At 34.5% G+C, this 15,620-nt stretch overlaps 1 annotated feature.

Moving 5' to 3' along the window:
• Positions 14,458-15,297: an enhancer, noted in NCBI's record as "OCT4-NANOG hESC enhancer chr5:12237819-12238658 (GRCh37/hg19 assembly coordinates)". NCBI's record gives its function as "activates a minimal SCP1, AML or CMV promoter by ChIP-STARR-seq in naive and primed H9 embryonic stem cells {active_cell/tissue: H9 hESC(naive and primed)}" and the evidence as "EXISTENCE:reporter gene assay evidence [ECO:0000049][PMID:30033119]".

The following is a 15,620-nucleotide window of genomic DNA, read 5'->3' as shown; positions in this document are numbered from 1 at the left end:
CTCCAGCTTTGTTCTTTTGGCTTATGATTGACTTGGCGATGTGGGCTCTTTTTTGGTTCCATATGAACTTTAAAGTAGTTTTTTCCAATTCTGTGAAGAAAGTCATTGGTGGCTTGATGGGGATGGCATTGAATCTATAAATTACCTTGGGCAGTATGGCCATTTTCACGATATTGATTCTTCCTACCCATGAGCATGGAATGTTCTTCCATTTGTTTGTATCCTCTTTTATTTCCTTGAGCAGTGGTTTGTAGTTCTCCTTGAAGAGGTCCTTCACATCCCTTGTAAATTGGATTCCTAGGTATTTGATTCTCTTTGAAGCAATTGTGAATGGGATTGCACTCATGATTTGGCTCTCTGTTTGTCTGTTGTTGGTGTATAAGAATGCTTGTGATTTTTGTACATTGATTTTGTATCCTGAGACTTTGCTGAAGTTGCTTATCAGGTTAAGGAGATTTTGGGCTGAAACAATGGGGTTTTCTAGATATACAATCATGAAGATGACTAATTGTTTAGTTTCAGTGGCAAAATTCAAATAGATGCCAAGCAAAAATGTTCTCCAACACCCTACCTTTCGAACAAGCATTTTAAAAATGTTGATATCCCCTTTAACAAAGAAAAATTATTATCTAGACTAATTATTGTTGATGCAATATTCTTACCGAGTATTGAAAAGGGAATACAAGAGAAATATTATATATATTTAAATGCAAATGAAGATATATATAAATAAGTAAGGGAGTTCCTGACTTCAGGCTATTGGAAGACTTCAAGGAGCAGAATGAAATCCACTGAAATGTAACCATTATTTTATGTACACACACAGCCTGTGCATATTGTGTGTGTGTCTTTGAATTCAAAACATGATTTATTTTGAACATATTTAAGCTAATGCATCATTTAGCAATGTTAGGGGCATTATTTAGTTCAATTCAATGAATGTTGGTTGTTTACAAAGTATTAAATATAGTGGACTTTTCACTATGGTTTGTCTATTTTGTTTCTACCACAAAAGATGTTTCTAATAGTATACTTTTGCCGCATTTTGATTATTGACAATGATGATGTTTTGATTGTAGAGCTAAGTTGGGATCAAATAGTATAGATAAAACTATGTAGAATTTGTTAAGAACTGTGAGACTTTTTAGACTATATGCATTGACACCGTTGCTTCTGAAGTAAGTTCTGTGTTCAGAATGTATTGAGTTCATCTAGGATCTTCTATTATAAGATTTTATTATAATACTCATCACATTATGGTACAGTTGTTTCTGTCTGTTTTTTGACTTTTGGAGATGAAATTTTAGACAGAAAGAGATGCATTCTGTTTATCATTAAACTCCCAAATCTGACATTTCTTAACACATATTAAATGTTCAAAAATATTTAGTACAAATAAATTAATATATGACAACAAACTAAAAACTCACATAATTTTATATCTGTAAACCTCATTTGAATCTCACATCTTTATTTCCAGGAATATAGTACACACTTAATAAATATTTGGTCAATTTAAGTGCATTGCCTTAGGCTAAAATCTTCTTAAAAATAATTGGGATTTGAAAGTAGGTATCTGGATTATCGTTTCAAAAATTGTCCTTATATAACAAGCTAATAAAATTTTACAAATGGGAGTTCTTCATCAGTTATTTAGTCTAACCTTCTATAATTATAATAGCTCACCATGTCTGAAAAGTTCATGACATTTGTTGATATTTTCACTGCACTTCTCAATCTCATTCCGGCAACAATTATCAAACAAAAAATTGTAACTAACAGGAATATCATTATTTCTAATTTTACCTTTGGTCTCCCATAACCATAAAAAAACTGTTTTCCATCTGTTTCACTCTAATCTTGCACAGAGTTCAGAATTCACTATTTCACTCCACTGCTTAAATCACTTTTAGAATATTTGACCTGCTGCCGACAACCCAAATAACCACTTCCTTTTCATCAATTTGTCTTTGCCTAAGTGTATCCCAAATTGCTCAAATAAATTCCCTTCTCACATCTAAAATTTTAAAAAATGAATTTATTTGTACAACTAGTAATAGTGTATACAAATATCTGAAAATTTAGCAAGGACAAATTTCAACAGAGTACACATTTGACTAATAAATATTTAATAATATAGGTTGACCATAGTGATGCTAAAATTCTTGATCCAGACATAAAACCTGTAAATACTGATTGAAAATAAAAAGAAAGAGAAAGATATACTGTATGGTGAAGAATTTAGCTTTTCCCAAATAAAAGTCTGAGCTTTGCCCTAGCTTCAAGGAGGTGATCTCTAAGCCCTTGGAATGTCTTGCCTGATATACATGTCTTTGTTTAGGGTCTTTGGACCATGACAGAAAATCTAATACTGCGGCTCATGGAGTGGTAGGTGTGTCAGTGGGGGATTTGGTCATTCAATATCCACTCAGCCTCCAGAGGGGCTAGAGTGGAGATTAAGGTTGAGGTGAGCCATGTAGTCAGTGGACCACGCAGCTTCAATAAAGCCTCTGGACACCAAATCTTGGGTAAGCTTCCTTGGTTTGCAGTGTTCAGTATGTGTTGTCACCCATCTTTGCTAGGAGAACTTAACACTGTCCATAACTATGTGGGGAGAGAATAGCCTGGAGCTTCATGTTTAGAAACTTCCTGGAGTCTGCCACATGTATTTTTTCCCTTTGATGATTTTGATCTGTGTCCTTTCCTTGAAATAATACATAACTATAACAGTGGTCACTGAGTTCTGTGGACTCTTCTAGAAGATTATCAAATCTAATGGTGGTCTTGGGAATCCTCAAACTCTGCAGCTGATGTCAGAAAAGAGGGAAGTTCTGTGGACTGAGTTCACTCAAAACTTGCATGCACTCACCAGGCATTTTAACTAGAGGATACTGACTTTATAACTTATTTAAAACTAGTTTTTAAAATAATGCTATAGTGCAACTAAAGACAGTGTCTTAATGAGACCGACAAGCATAAACTTAATGTGAATTCTTTATCTTAATTTATTCTTCTTACACCCTGTTAGGTTTCCAGTTTTCATAAGGGCAAAGATTTAAGTGACTGCTGATTTCTTAAAAGATATTTTGGAAATCAGAAGACAATGTGATAATATCTACAAGAACCAAAAGACAAAATAGTGTCGTTGACCCATAGTCTCTAGCTGGCATAAATATTCTTAGATTGAAGGAAAATAAAGATCTTTGTAAGCAAAACAAAACTAAGAAAATTTGATGCCAGCAGGTTTGTACCATAATAGTAAGCCAAAATATGCAGCCTGAGGAAAGATGATACCAGAGGGAAGCCCAGAATTTCAGGAGGAATGAAGGCAACTGGGCAAGGTAGGTATGTGTGTAAATACAATGGACTATTTATTTTTAATGTCCTTCATATATAAAGGGTTGTTTAAGAACAAATTATGACATTGTCTTGTGGGGTCTAACATATATATGTCAACTATAAATTATATAAACTATATAAAAAATATGTAAACTAAAAACGTATATACATCAACTATGTCATAAAAGCCAGAGAAGAGTAAAATTACTTATAAAATCACATTGTAAAACTCCTACATTGTTTGTAAAATGAGAAAATTATTAACTCTAAGAAAATAGTGGGCAATGTTAGAAGTATATACTTTCATTGCTAGAGTGAGAACTAAAACATAACACAAAGGGGTATAGATAAGCATCTGATAGGTAAATTAGAATGCCAATATATATTCAAATTTTTAAAGACAAAAAAGGGGAAAACAAATCAAGAACTGGGAGGACAAAGAAAGCAAAGAATAAAATGGTAGAATTAAGTTAAATTATGTCAACGGTTAACATTTAATGTTAATGAACCAGAAAACAGAGATTGTCAAAACGGATGGAATGTAATAGCCAACTACTTAATGACTACAGGAGATACATTTTAAATACGAAGAGACTAACAGGTTAAAAGAAAATGGATAGGAAAGATGTATTGTGCAATCCTTAAGCATAAGAAGGCTGAAGTGATTACATACATAACACAAAACAGACTATGACACTGAAAAGTATATCAGCCAAGATAAAGAAGGACATTTCATAATGAAATGATAAAAGAATGAATTCATCAAAAAGACATAACAATCAGAAATGGGTTTCCATTAACAAACTACTTCAAAATACACAGAGTAAAAATTAACAGCATTAAAGAAACAAGCTGACATTTCCAAAGTCATATTTGGAAACTTTAGCACCACTGTCTCAGTAACTGATAGAAAAGCTAGACAAAAAAATAATTTGATCTAAAAAGACTGTTAATCTAAACAAACATTATCCACCACCTTCACCTGATTGATATTTATGGAACACTGCATCCCCTAAAAGTAGAATACATGTTCTTTTCATATTTTCATTGTATATAAGAATTAAAGTATTTAACACGGTTGAAATATTAAAGAATGTGTTCTCACAAGAAAATCACAAAAATATTTAGAAGTTTAAGTATTTGGAAAAATATTTGAAATTATTTGGAAATATTGGAATACTTCTAATATTTCTTGAAATTCAAAAAACACACATATTTGGAAATTTAAATATTTAGATAATCAATTTTTCCTGAGGAGATACAACGAGAGAAACTAGAAAATGTTACAAACAGAATGAAAATATAACTACAACATATTGAATATTGTTGAATTCAGATAAAACTGTATTTATTAGGAAATTAGTCACTTTACAAGCTTAGATTAGAATAGAAATTCTAAAATAAATAACCTTAAGTTTCTTCTTAAGAAGCTCAAAAAGGAGAGAAAAATAAACCCAAACTAAATAGAACAAAGGACATACTAATAATGAACAGGGATGAAAAAATATCAAACAAGCAATAGAAATTTAAAAATAAGCAGATTATTTGAAAAGATGAAAAAATTAAAACCCTAGCTAGATTAATTGAGAGACAAAATTATAAATGTTAGATATGAAAGGAGATTATTACCAAAGATCCAACAGACCTGAAAAAGGTAATAATGAACAACTTTATAATAACAAATTGGACAAGCTAGAGAAATGAGCAAACATTGTTCAAAAACATAACTTACCACAGCAGACAGAAGATGGAACAATCAGAATAGCCTATAAATATTTGTAATTTGATTTTTTAAAAAATCTTACAAATAGGCCAGGCGCAGTGGCTCATACCTGTAATCCCAGCACTTTGGAAGGCCGAGGCGGGTGGATCATGAGGTCAGGAAATCGAGACCATCCTGGCTAACACGGTGAAACCCCGTCTCTATTAAAAATACAAAAAAATTAGCCAGGCGCGGTGGCGGGCGCCTGTAGTCCCAGCTACTCGGGAGGCTGAGGCAGGAGAATGGCGTGAACCCAGGAGGCAGAGCTTGCAGTGAGCTGAGATTGCGCCACTGCACTCCAGCCTGGGCAACAGAGCAAGACTCCGTCTCAAAAACAAAAACAAAAAAATCTTACAAATAAAACTCTAGGCCCGTACAGTTTCAATTGTCAATCATTTAAGGAAGAAATAAGACCATTTTTATGTGAAATGTCTAGAAGAGAGGAAAAAACCTTTCTGAACCGTTTTACAAAGCCAATATAAATCTAATACTAGAAATCCCAAAAGAAAAATAAATTATGCACCAATTATATACAATATCCAACAAATAACCCCTATGAAATTAATGTTAAAAAGCACAACACAGTATTAGCACATAAAAAGGAGAAACATTTTAAAAGCATGTTACATCATGACCTAATAGGTAATTCTAAAGAATTCAAGGTTCTCACATTTAGAAATTCACCTCCAGTATAATGCACACTGTATTCTGCATGAATTCTCTGTTCACCTGTATGACTCCCAGCATGCTGACTTCTCAATTTCAAATCATCCTAATTTCTAATGTCTACTTCACTCAATTCAGTGTCTATTTATAGTCCCTTTCTGAAATTTGTCGTCGTCTGGAACTATTTTGGGTTTGAAATGTTTAAGACCACCAGCCAATTAACCTACAAAGTTTTTCTGAATATCAGCCCATTTTTCTTCATTTTCTTTCTAACTTAGATTCCAAAGTCTATCATTTCAACCACTCTATTGAGGATAATTTAAATTATCATTCATCTGTCTTCATGTCATCTGCCTATATTCCCATTCTAGACAAGCCACTAGTCTACTCTATGCTTGCACCTAATAAGATTGCTCAATTAAAAAAATAAATTCACACAATTGGGATAATTGGTAAGACCTAAATTATGGTTCCTAACCTGACGGGATCCTCAACACCATTAAACACACTCATAGGCATACATTTTTAAAATTGGCATTCTACTTCAGAGAAAACATAAATCATCAGATTGTAATTTTCTCAACTTTCAATCAGCAAATGTAAAAACTGAAGCACATCAGCCCTGTCCTTTCTTTCTGACTCCCTATGCCAATGGAGTAACATTTTGTCCATCTAGTACAAAAGCCACCTCTGCCATCTGTCTTCTGTTTTCCCATCTCTTGCCTTCACATTATCTAATCCTTCCTTATTCTCTCATGTGAAAAAAAAAAATTTTCTATTAATCCCACATACTCCTCCAGGTATTTCTTCTATTTTCAACTTTTTGCAAGAGTCGTCTAGAGTAGCTGCTGTTTCCACTTTGTCACCACACATTTATTGATCAGGAATCTTCACTGTGTCTCCGTTCCCTTGCCATTATGCTGGAGAGCTTTACCCAGGCATAAACATGAATGCCATGACAACGAAACTAATGGACAATGTTGGAGCCTCGTCATTACCCATTGTTTACTCATTTGCCAGAAGTGACCACTTTCCTCGTGTGGAGGTTGATCACATTTTCTGTTTCTTCTGCTAGTCTTTATAGAACTAAATTCCTGACTTTCTTTCTGATTCTTTAGCCATTGCTTATCTTTTATTTGGCAATAAAACTTGAGGTTCATCAGGAATTGGCCATAGGCTACTTTATCTCTCTCTCTACATTCTCTTCCTGGGACTTCATAATAATCCTCGTGTCTCCAATTTTTTCCCCCAAGCAAACCTCCTTATTTATGTCTTCCTCTTAAACTACTCATAAACCCAGCTGCCTTCTCTGAATTTTCACATGGATACCTCAAAATGAAACATCCCAAATCAACCCAATATTCTTTTCCCGCTGTCCAGATTTTTGTTCTATTTCTGTAAAAATACTATATTTTTAAAGAAAAGAAAAACAAATACTATAAATAAAACTCATAAGAATGGCTAACTATAGAGAATAAACACATGAGTAGTCTGAGATGTAGGCAAATTTATAAGACATGTTAATTAGAGAGAGAGTAAGCAAGTAAGCATCTTATGAGACATACAGTAGGTATGAATAGCAGCTTAGTAATCTCTAAGACATGTTAAAAATCCATAGCGGAATGCAATATGTGATTGAAAAAACATAGGTAGGGCAAATGCAAGTGTTACTTGTAGACAGAAAGGATGAAAAGGCCCAATTGTGAGTTCGGGATCATGCCAACTCCAGAGAAACAGCTATGTCATTCCCAAATTGGCCACTGTTTGATGACATGATAGTCCTATTTTGTCCCCGTGCTCTACTAGAAACTAATATGAGACTTAGAGCTATTCATCAAGCTCATTGGTAAGCAAGTAACAGCCATGGTCGACATACTTGATCAATACTGTATTGGTTGGTTCCAGGCATAATTTGACTGCTGAATTCCTTAGTTTAACCTCAGTTTTCTCCTTATAGTTACCCCACCAGTGGAGATTGGTGTATCTCAGAGATATAGGACTGATGAACATTGCAAAACACAGGATTCCATAGTCCTTCTCTCCTCTTGTACCCTATCATAAAGTTAGGACTTATGAACATTGGAAAACACAGGATTCTGGTAGCATAATCCTTCCCTCCTCTTGTACCCTATCATAAAGTTATCTCACCCCATCTTTTTCTTCTTGTCTGGCTTTGTGTGTCATGAATGAATTAAACAAGGATGTAACATTAGTATCTTAATCTAAATGGTCCATGAACATTTATTTTTCATAATGTCTAAAATAGCTTGCTTAATGCTATACTTGGGAGGCTACTGGGATAATTTTTCCTAAAACATCCTCCACCACAAATGTCTTCTCATGTATTTTCTACCTCTCTAAATGACACTAACATTTATATAAACAATTCTTCTTCTAAACTTATTTCCAACAATTGATGTTACGGTTGAGTTCAGGAATGGGTCTTATCTTAGTATTCCTCAACCCCTTGCTAGCATTCTTAATTCTCATAGTCCTTAGTTTGTCAGGAGTTATTTGCGAAGTGTCTGTCTACCAAAAAACACTCTAATTTAATTCTAATAGAAAGCAGGAACTATGTCTGCTTTCTATAGCATGGTATTTCCAACACCCATCATAATGTTTCACATTAAAAGATGCTCTCTACATTCTCCTTTCCTAAATAAATGCCTACCAGATTTTCTTTCACATAGTAGGAATTTAGACTGATTGCAAAGCTGATTGGACAGGAAATAATTTCTAAAAAAAACTAGAGTACAGTGGCATTTTGCCTTGAGAGAAAAGCGTTGGCACTGTGATAGGACACGCTGATAACAGTAATAGAGGTTGAAGCACAGCTTATCTTTTGTTAAAAAAGAAGTTATGCTGTGAAAACTTGACATGCAAATGAATGTATGAAATTCATTGGAAGTTCAACTGTAATCTATTTGAATGTTAATGAAGGCTGCTGAGGGATTCTTTTTAATCTTTTCCTTTTTTCCCTTTACTGTTAAAAGAAGCTCTAAAATTACCTAACAATTGATAATTCTTTATTTTATTTCTCTCATAATATGATTGATAAACTATTCAAGTAATTTATATTTGTATTTTGAATTATGAAATAGAAAAATCAGCTCTGCAAGGAAGTTTTTGGGACTACCATGTAGTCTTACATTTGAAATTTTTAAAAAAATGCATTTGGCTACGTGAATCCCTAAAGAGAGATGTGTTTATACATTGAAAACTTTGTGCTGAAATAATTTTCAACATAAAATTGAATTGATGTTAGATATTTTCCAGTGTAATATAGGAAACTGATCATTTACAAAATAGTAATAATTAACCTAATAGAAGTTTTCCTATTGCTAAAACTGTGGTATTTTTTCAGAAATATAAGTTTTTGTTCATATTGCTCATATCCACATTTAATTTTAAATTAAAATTGTACCACAGACAACAAGATGTTAATTCATTATGACGTGTGAGTGTTTCTTTGTGAATTCCTCACCTCACTTTAATGCTGTAAGATTTCAGGTTCTTCCTCATATTTCCCCCAGAGGCTTTTATGACTCATTTTGTCCCTCAAATTATGTTTCACAAACATGATTCGTTGGTCCCTACCTTTTTTCTTTCTATGTACTTGCTGCATTATTCACTTACTTAACAAATAAATGATTGACTGATTGCAAAATGCTCTTTTCCCCTTCCCCCCCTTTTCTGAAAATCATATCTATTCCAAAATCTTCAGCTAGAATAACTCAACAATACTTAGTTACACTTTCATATGTTCATATGATTGCTCCAGTTACAAGTCATATATAACAACAACAGCAACAACAACAAAATTCAAGGCAACCAAAACTGATCTCACTCTAAGCCTCTTCAATACCACTGTCACAATAATATTGCTGATTCACAGTTCTGACTGTTCCATGACTGTGCTCGGAAATCTTGTATTGCTCATTATTTCTTTACATTAAACAAAATTTCTTTCTTTCAAGGAACCTCGCAAGTCATTACTAAAAAATTCTTACTTGCCATTATTCCTGCTTTTCACTACAAGAACATCTACAAGAACTCTGCCTTCTAGCCAGAAAGCCCATGTGCCATCTTCCCAGGAATGTCTGACAGTTTTCCACAGACCTGTGGCTTGACTCATGCCATCTGTTCGAAATGCCTTTTTAATGCACATAAATTTTTGATATTTCGTCTATACTTTAGCGTCAGATTCAATGTATTCTCCTTCCTGGGTCTAAAACACGAGAAAGGAGATAGAAATTTCTGTAAAAGCCTACAAACCTCTCACGCTTCATTTATGTTTCTGACCACATATTTTCTTGATTATAGTTAGTTGCTGCTGCTCTAATGTCCCCTGCTAGATTATAAAGTCCTGGGACTAGGGATCTTATTTTATTCATGTATGAATTTCTCACAGAACCTAAAGTTGCAGAACATCTTGCAAACACTCAAATATTTATTTGTTGAGTAAATAAATAATGCAGCACATACATAAAAAGTAAATGAAACAACATTGACAACATCAAGAATTTCAGAAATACATTAATCATCAAATAATTTACTATCCCTATAGTCATACAGTCTAGAAAACATTAGTTAGCTATAGTTTCTTGAAGAAGTTTAAGACCATTATTTTATAAAATCTATTTCTAGTTCATATCATTTAAAAACAATAATTTATTTCAATATAAAATGCATGCACATAATAAAAATATAAAAGTTACAAAATGAAGTAAAAACTGTACTCTAAACCTTATCCTTCAGTCTCCCATACCCTTTCAAAGAGGCAACCCATTTTACCAATTCTATGCTATTCGGTTGGTGCAAAAGTTATTGTGGTTTTTGCAATTAAAAGTATTTTTTCCAGGGATAATCTACATATATACAGACTTAATGTTGTGCATTATTTTGCCATTTTACAGCTGTCAGCATACTCATACACACTATTCTGAAAACCATTTTTCACTCAAAAATAATCTTGGAGGTTGTTTTAAATGTTCGTACTATCCTTATTGCTTATAATGTTCCTTAGTGTTTATACCATAATCTATCCATATATGACTAGATGCTTATTTATGTGTATGGAGGATTTTTTTCCATACTACTGTTATTACAAAACTTGCCACAATAAATGATTTTGTACATATATGTTTGCACATATCTATACTACAACTGGAAGACACATTCCATAAACAGGTATTATTGGCTCAAATTGTTTATTAATATTTCTTTCTATAAATATCATTGAATTTATCTGCATAGATGCTTTACTAGATTTTTATTTTTGCATACCAAAAAATCACAAACTTATGAGAGTAAAGCTATATACATTTATTTTCTCACTGCTTCTATGAAACAGCAGTCCAGGCTTGACTTAGCCGAGTTATCTGCAAGGCTGCAGTTGGGGTATCAGCTGAGGCTAGAATCTCAACTGAATGCCCAACTGGGAAAGGATCCTCTTCCAAGATCACTGGGTTTGTGGGCTGAATTCATTATCTTGCACCTAAGGACTGCAAGCCTAATTTTCTTGCAGAGTTGGCTGAAAATCATCCTCAGCTCCTAGGGGTCATCCTCAGCTCTTTATATTGTGAACCACCCCCAAACCCCCACATACATATGACCACCTGTGTCACGAAACAAGCAAGCATGAGAATCTCTCAGCCCAAAAGAAGTTACATCTTATGTAGTGTAATCATATACACATAATCAAGTATGTCCTGTATATTGTTGTATTCTCTTGGTTAGATGGATGTGACAGGTCATCTCCACATTCAAGCAGATTACTCAAGGGCCTAGTTTCCCAGAGACAGAGATCATGAGTGTGTCTGCCACAGAGATGTATCAGTTTAGAATCCTACCAAACATGGGAGAGAGCCTCATACTCCGCATGCTCTCCAAGTGTATTACCAGAATTTTGTTTATTGTTGCAAATCGGAGCTGAAAGTAAATGCTCTCTCACCGTAGTTTTTCTCATTTTCTTACAATATGTGAGTTTTAGCATCTTTTCACGTACTTAAATGAAGTAGATATTTTTATTTAATATTTGTAAACTTCATGGACACCTACTTTACCGTATGTTAATTGGTTTCCCTTGCATTTTTTTTTGTATTAACATATAGGAATTATCTACATGGTTTCAAAAAGCTTTTTGTCTCCAATAATGTTGCAAATAATCATTATTTGGTCAATAGGTTTGGGGATTTTTAAGAATTTCTTCTGTTTGCATATTTTTTTTCTTTTCATTTTAGTATAGTTAAGAATATTACCTAGTTTGAGTTCTATTCCTTCATTCAATAATAAATTCCAGATAGATAAAGATTTAAATTTTAAAATTCTTTCTTAAAACTAAAGGGAAAAAATAGCACCACAAGGGGAAATCTCTAACTTGCACTCTACTGGGTGAGTGCCTACCTAAGACCATTTTCGAGAGGCCTATGCTCAATAAGGTAGGGAATTGTGCTGAAGTGGCATGCCCGTGATAAACTGCTGGCTGGTGGAAAGGCCTTCACAGAGGCTCTCCAAAGAGCGAACCAAGCCCATATCCCCAGACAAGACAGTCCTAACTCAGCGGCACTCTTTTACCACAAGTGGGAAGCCACTTCAAGCCCACCCACTGTAGCTGAGAGGTATGAGGTTCGCATTCACAAGTCACATCCTCAGTAATGCCTTTCCTGGCCACTCTCTAAAATTTTAACAACAGTCACAACACTTTAAATCTGTCTTAATTTTTCTCCTTTGATCTTTTCACTATCTGATACGTTATGTATTTCATTCATCTTTTTTAAATTGTCTGTCTTCCCAGTAAAATGTAAGCACCATGATGAATGGACCTGGTCAGCTTTGGTCCTCACTGGTTCTCTAGAGTCAAGCACAATGCATGGCACACAGAGCAGGGTGTGCTCAAATACATGCTCTTCATCGAACAGTGCATGGGCATGCATTTTTAAAAGAAACGTAAAATGCAAACATCTGATAAGAAAGTGAAGAAGATACTTCAAGAAGCAGAAGAAATTTTCTTGAGTATTTTCTAAATTGAAATTAATGCTTGGTGCGGTGGCTCACCCCTGTAATCCCAGCCCTTTCAGAGCCTGAGGCCGGTGGATGGCTTGAGACCAGGAGTTTGAGACCAGCCTGGGCAACATGACGAAACCCTGTCTCTACAAACAATACAAAAATTAGCCAGGTGTGGTGGCTTGCACCTGTAGTCCCAGTTACTTGGGACACTAAGATGGGAAGATCACTAGAGCTCATGAGGTTGAGGCTACAGTGAACTGTGATCTCACCACTGTACTCCAGCCTGGGTGACAGAGTGAGACCCTGTCTCAAAAACTAAGACAAAAGCAAACAAAAAACCCCATGAAATTAATAAAAATATATAAATCAATCAAGAGCTTAAAATTGTGATATATTAGTAGAATGTGGGCAAAATAAAGTTATTTCCCAAGGAAAAATAGTTAATTGACATTAAAAATCTATAAAATAAATTAGAAACAGCAAAGAATAGAATAGAATAGACAAATTTGAAAGGAACTTGAACTGACATAATATAAAAATTCCTTTGAATTCATTTGACAGGTCTCCAAAGGGCTGTTAAGAGCCAGGGGGCAATTTCTGCCTGGAAGTGACAGACATTTAGAACTTGCTAGATTCCAATAGAGAACATAATTCCTCCATGAGAAAAAAAATAGGTGATCTACGTGCATTTGGTCATTTTTCTCCTTTTCATATTATATTGTTGTCTTAAATAAGCCTTATTTGAAATGATCAAGATGGCCCATTTATAGAAATATAAGGGAAAGGTTTTCCTTGAATAGTCAACACAATCTCTATTTAAATATGTATTTATTTGAATTGGATTCTTCAACTTCAGCTTATAGAAATCGGAAGCTTTATTATAGAGTTTTCAAAAAGCCTCCTATGTTTAAATTTATTTTGCTAATGACTAGACAATTCAGAATTATTTAAACCTAATATTATTATTCCATTATTTTTTGACATAGGCCCAAACATTGAGAAAATTACATGTAAATTAAAAGCAGTAAACTTAAAATAAAAGTATAATCAAATGCAATTTTTAAATGTAAAATAAGTAAATACATAGATAAATAAAACTCCAACAAATCACAGCATTACAAGTTCATGGGTAACCAGAGCAGTAATGTCGTTAAACATGGTATTGAACTGAAAACTCATTGTCCAGTGAGCCAAGTCTTGGCCTACCAATTCCATGCCACTACCTCACCCCAGCCTTTCTTTAGGAACCACTGATGGGAGCAGAACATGAACATTCTAAGCTTTCTTTTTTTTTCCTTTTAAGGAGGGAGGAGAAAGTAATGAAGATGCGCATTATTATTCTACTTCAGGAAAAGCAGTATACAGTAGTCTCAATATTTGCAAGAAAAGGTCCAGGACTAAGGGGTTCCATGATTTTTAGATATATGCTGCCCTTCATCTGCCAAAACCTGTTTAACAACTGACCTCAATTAAACTAGTAATCTTGAAGGTTTATTAACAATTCTACTAGAACAGAGCACAGGGGTTTTGTCTTATTTTGTTACCACAGTATCCCCAACACTTAGACAAACAGGCAATCCATATTACTCAAGCACTATCTATTTGATGCACATAGGTAAGACTTTTATTTTTATTATTCCAACAAGTAGAAGAAAGTTCTCATAAAACTAATGGTGACTATTTCTGGTGAGAGGGTGAAAGAAAAATATAATTTTCTTTAGGTAACAGATGGGGATTTTCACATCACCTTCAGCCTCAGACTGGGACTTATCAACTTCTCGGTTTCCAAATCTTTGGGCTGGATCTGAAACTACACCACTGGCTTTCCTGGGCCTTCAGCTTGCAGATGGCAGATCATAGACTTTTCAGCCTCTGTAATCATGCGAGCCAATCCCTCACGTGCAATCTCTTTCTACGTATCTATGTAGCCTGTATTGTCTTTCTGGAGAACCTTGACTAATATACCTTCTTTATCTTAATCAATTAATCAATTTGACATAGAGCTAATTAGTCGCCAAGAAAGCCTTACCATTCCCCTCAGCTTGAGTAAACATTAGGCAGGTTTCTTCCTGCCTCCAGGATCTTAAAGCGTTTACTTTAGAAAACTTCTCATGGTAAATCCTCTCTCTGCACTTTTGAAATGCAAATCTTTTTAAGAGCCTCTTTCCACTTTCACAACCCAAGAATAGACCTAGGAGCCATGCTTTTGAAAGGTAATCATCAAGGAAGATGTAACCCCTCTCCCTCTCTCTGTGGGAGGGTAGGAGCCTAGCTGCAGTGGGGCACCTTGCTCTAAGTTGTAAAGCTACCTCCTATCATGAAAATAAAAAGTTTACTTTTCCTTTGGTTAAGGCCAACTGGCAGACAAAATTGGCTTAAGGTTCCCTCCAACCCCAGATCTTAAAAACGTTCCAGCTCTTGCTGGTATCGAGTTGGTCTGTCCCCACTACCCTATTGCTGGACGTAATATCAGAATAAAATCAATCTCTGTCTCCTCATCTTGTCCAGTGCGACTTTCCTCTTTAACAGTGTTAAGATTCCTTATCTGTTTATTCAATTTGATTTTTTGAAGATTTGGAATACACTTCAAAAGTCAAAAGTATTATGCTCAGAGGAGTTGTCTTCTTTTCCCTACACCATGTACCATGTTGCCAGATTTCTTCTGCACGTCACTATTTCTGGCTTATTCTTCCTGTGGTTTTTGCAGGGAGAGAGGAACACAAATAACTAGGTAGGACAGGTAGCACACTGTATCTACGATGTTAACCCTTGACAGTGTATCCAGGAACTCACTCTATACTACATAGATCTCTTTTGTTTTTAAGAGACATATAGCATTCCATTA

The sequence above is a fragment of the Homo sapiens genome, chromosome 5, assembly GCF_000001405.40.
Source record: "Homo sapiens chromosome 5, GRCh38.p14 Primary Assembly".
NCBI lineage: Eukaryota > Metazoa > Chordata > Mammalia > Primates > Hominidae > Homo > Homo sapiens.
The sequence above is the reverse complement of the archived record's forward strand: the minus strand, read 5'-3'. Positions and strand labels throughout refer to the sequence as shown.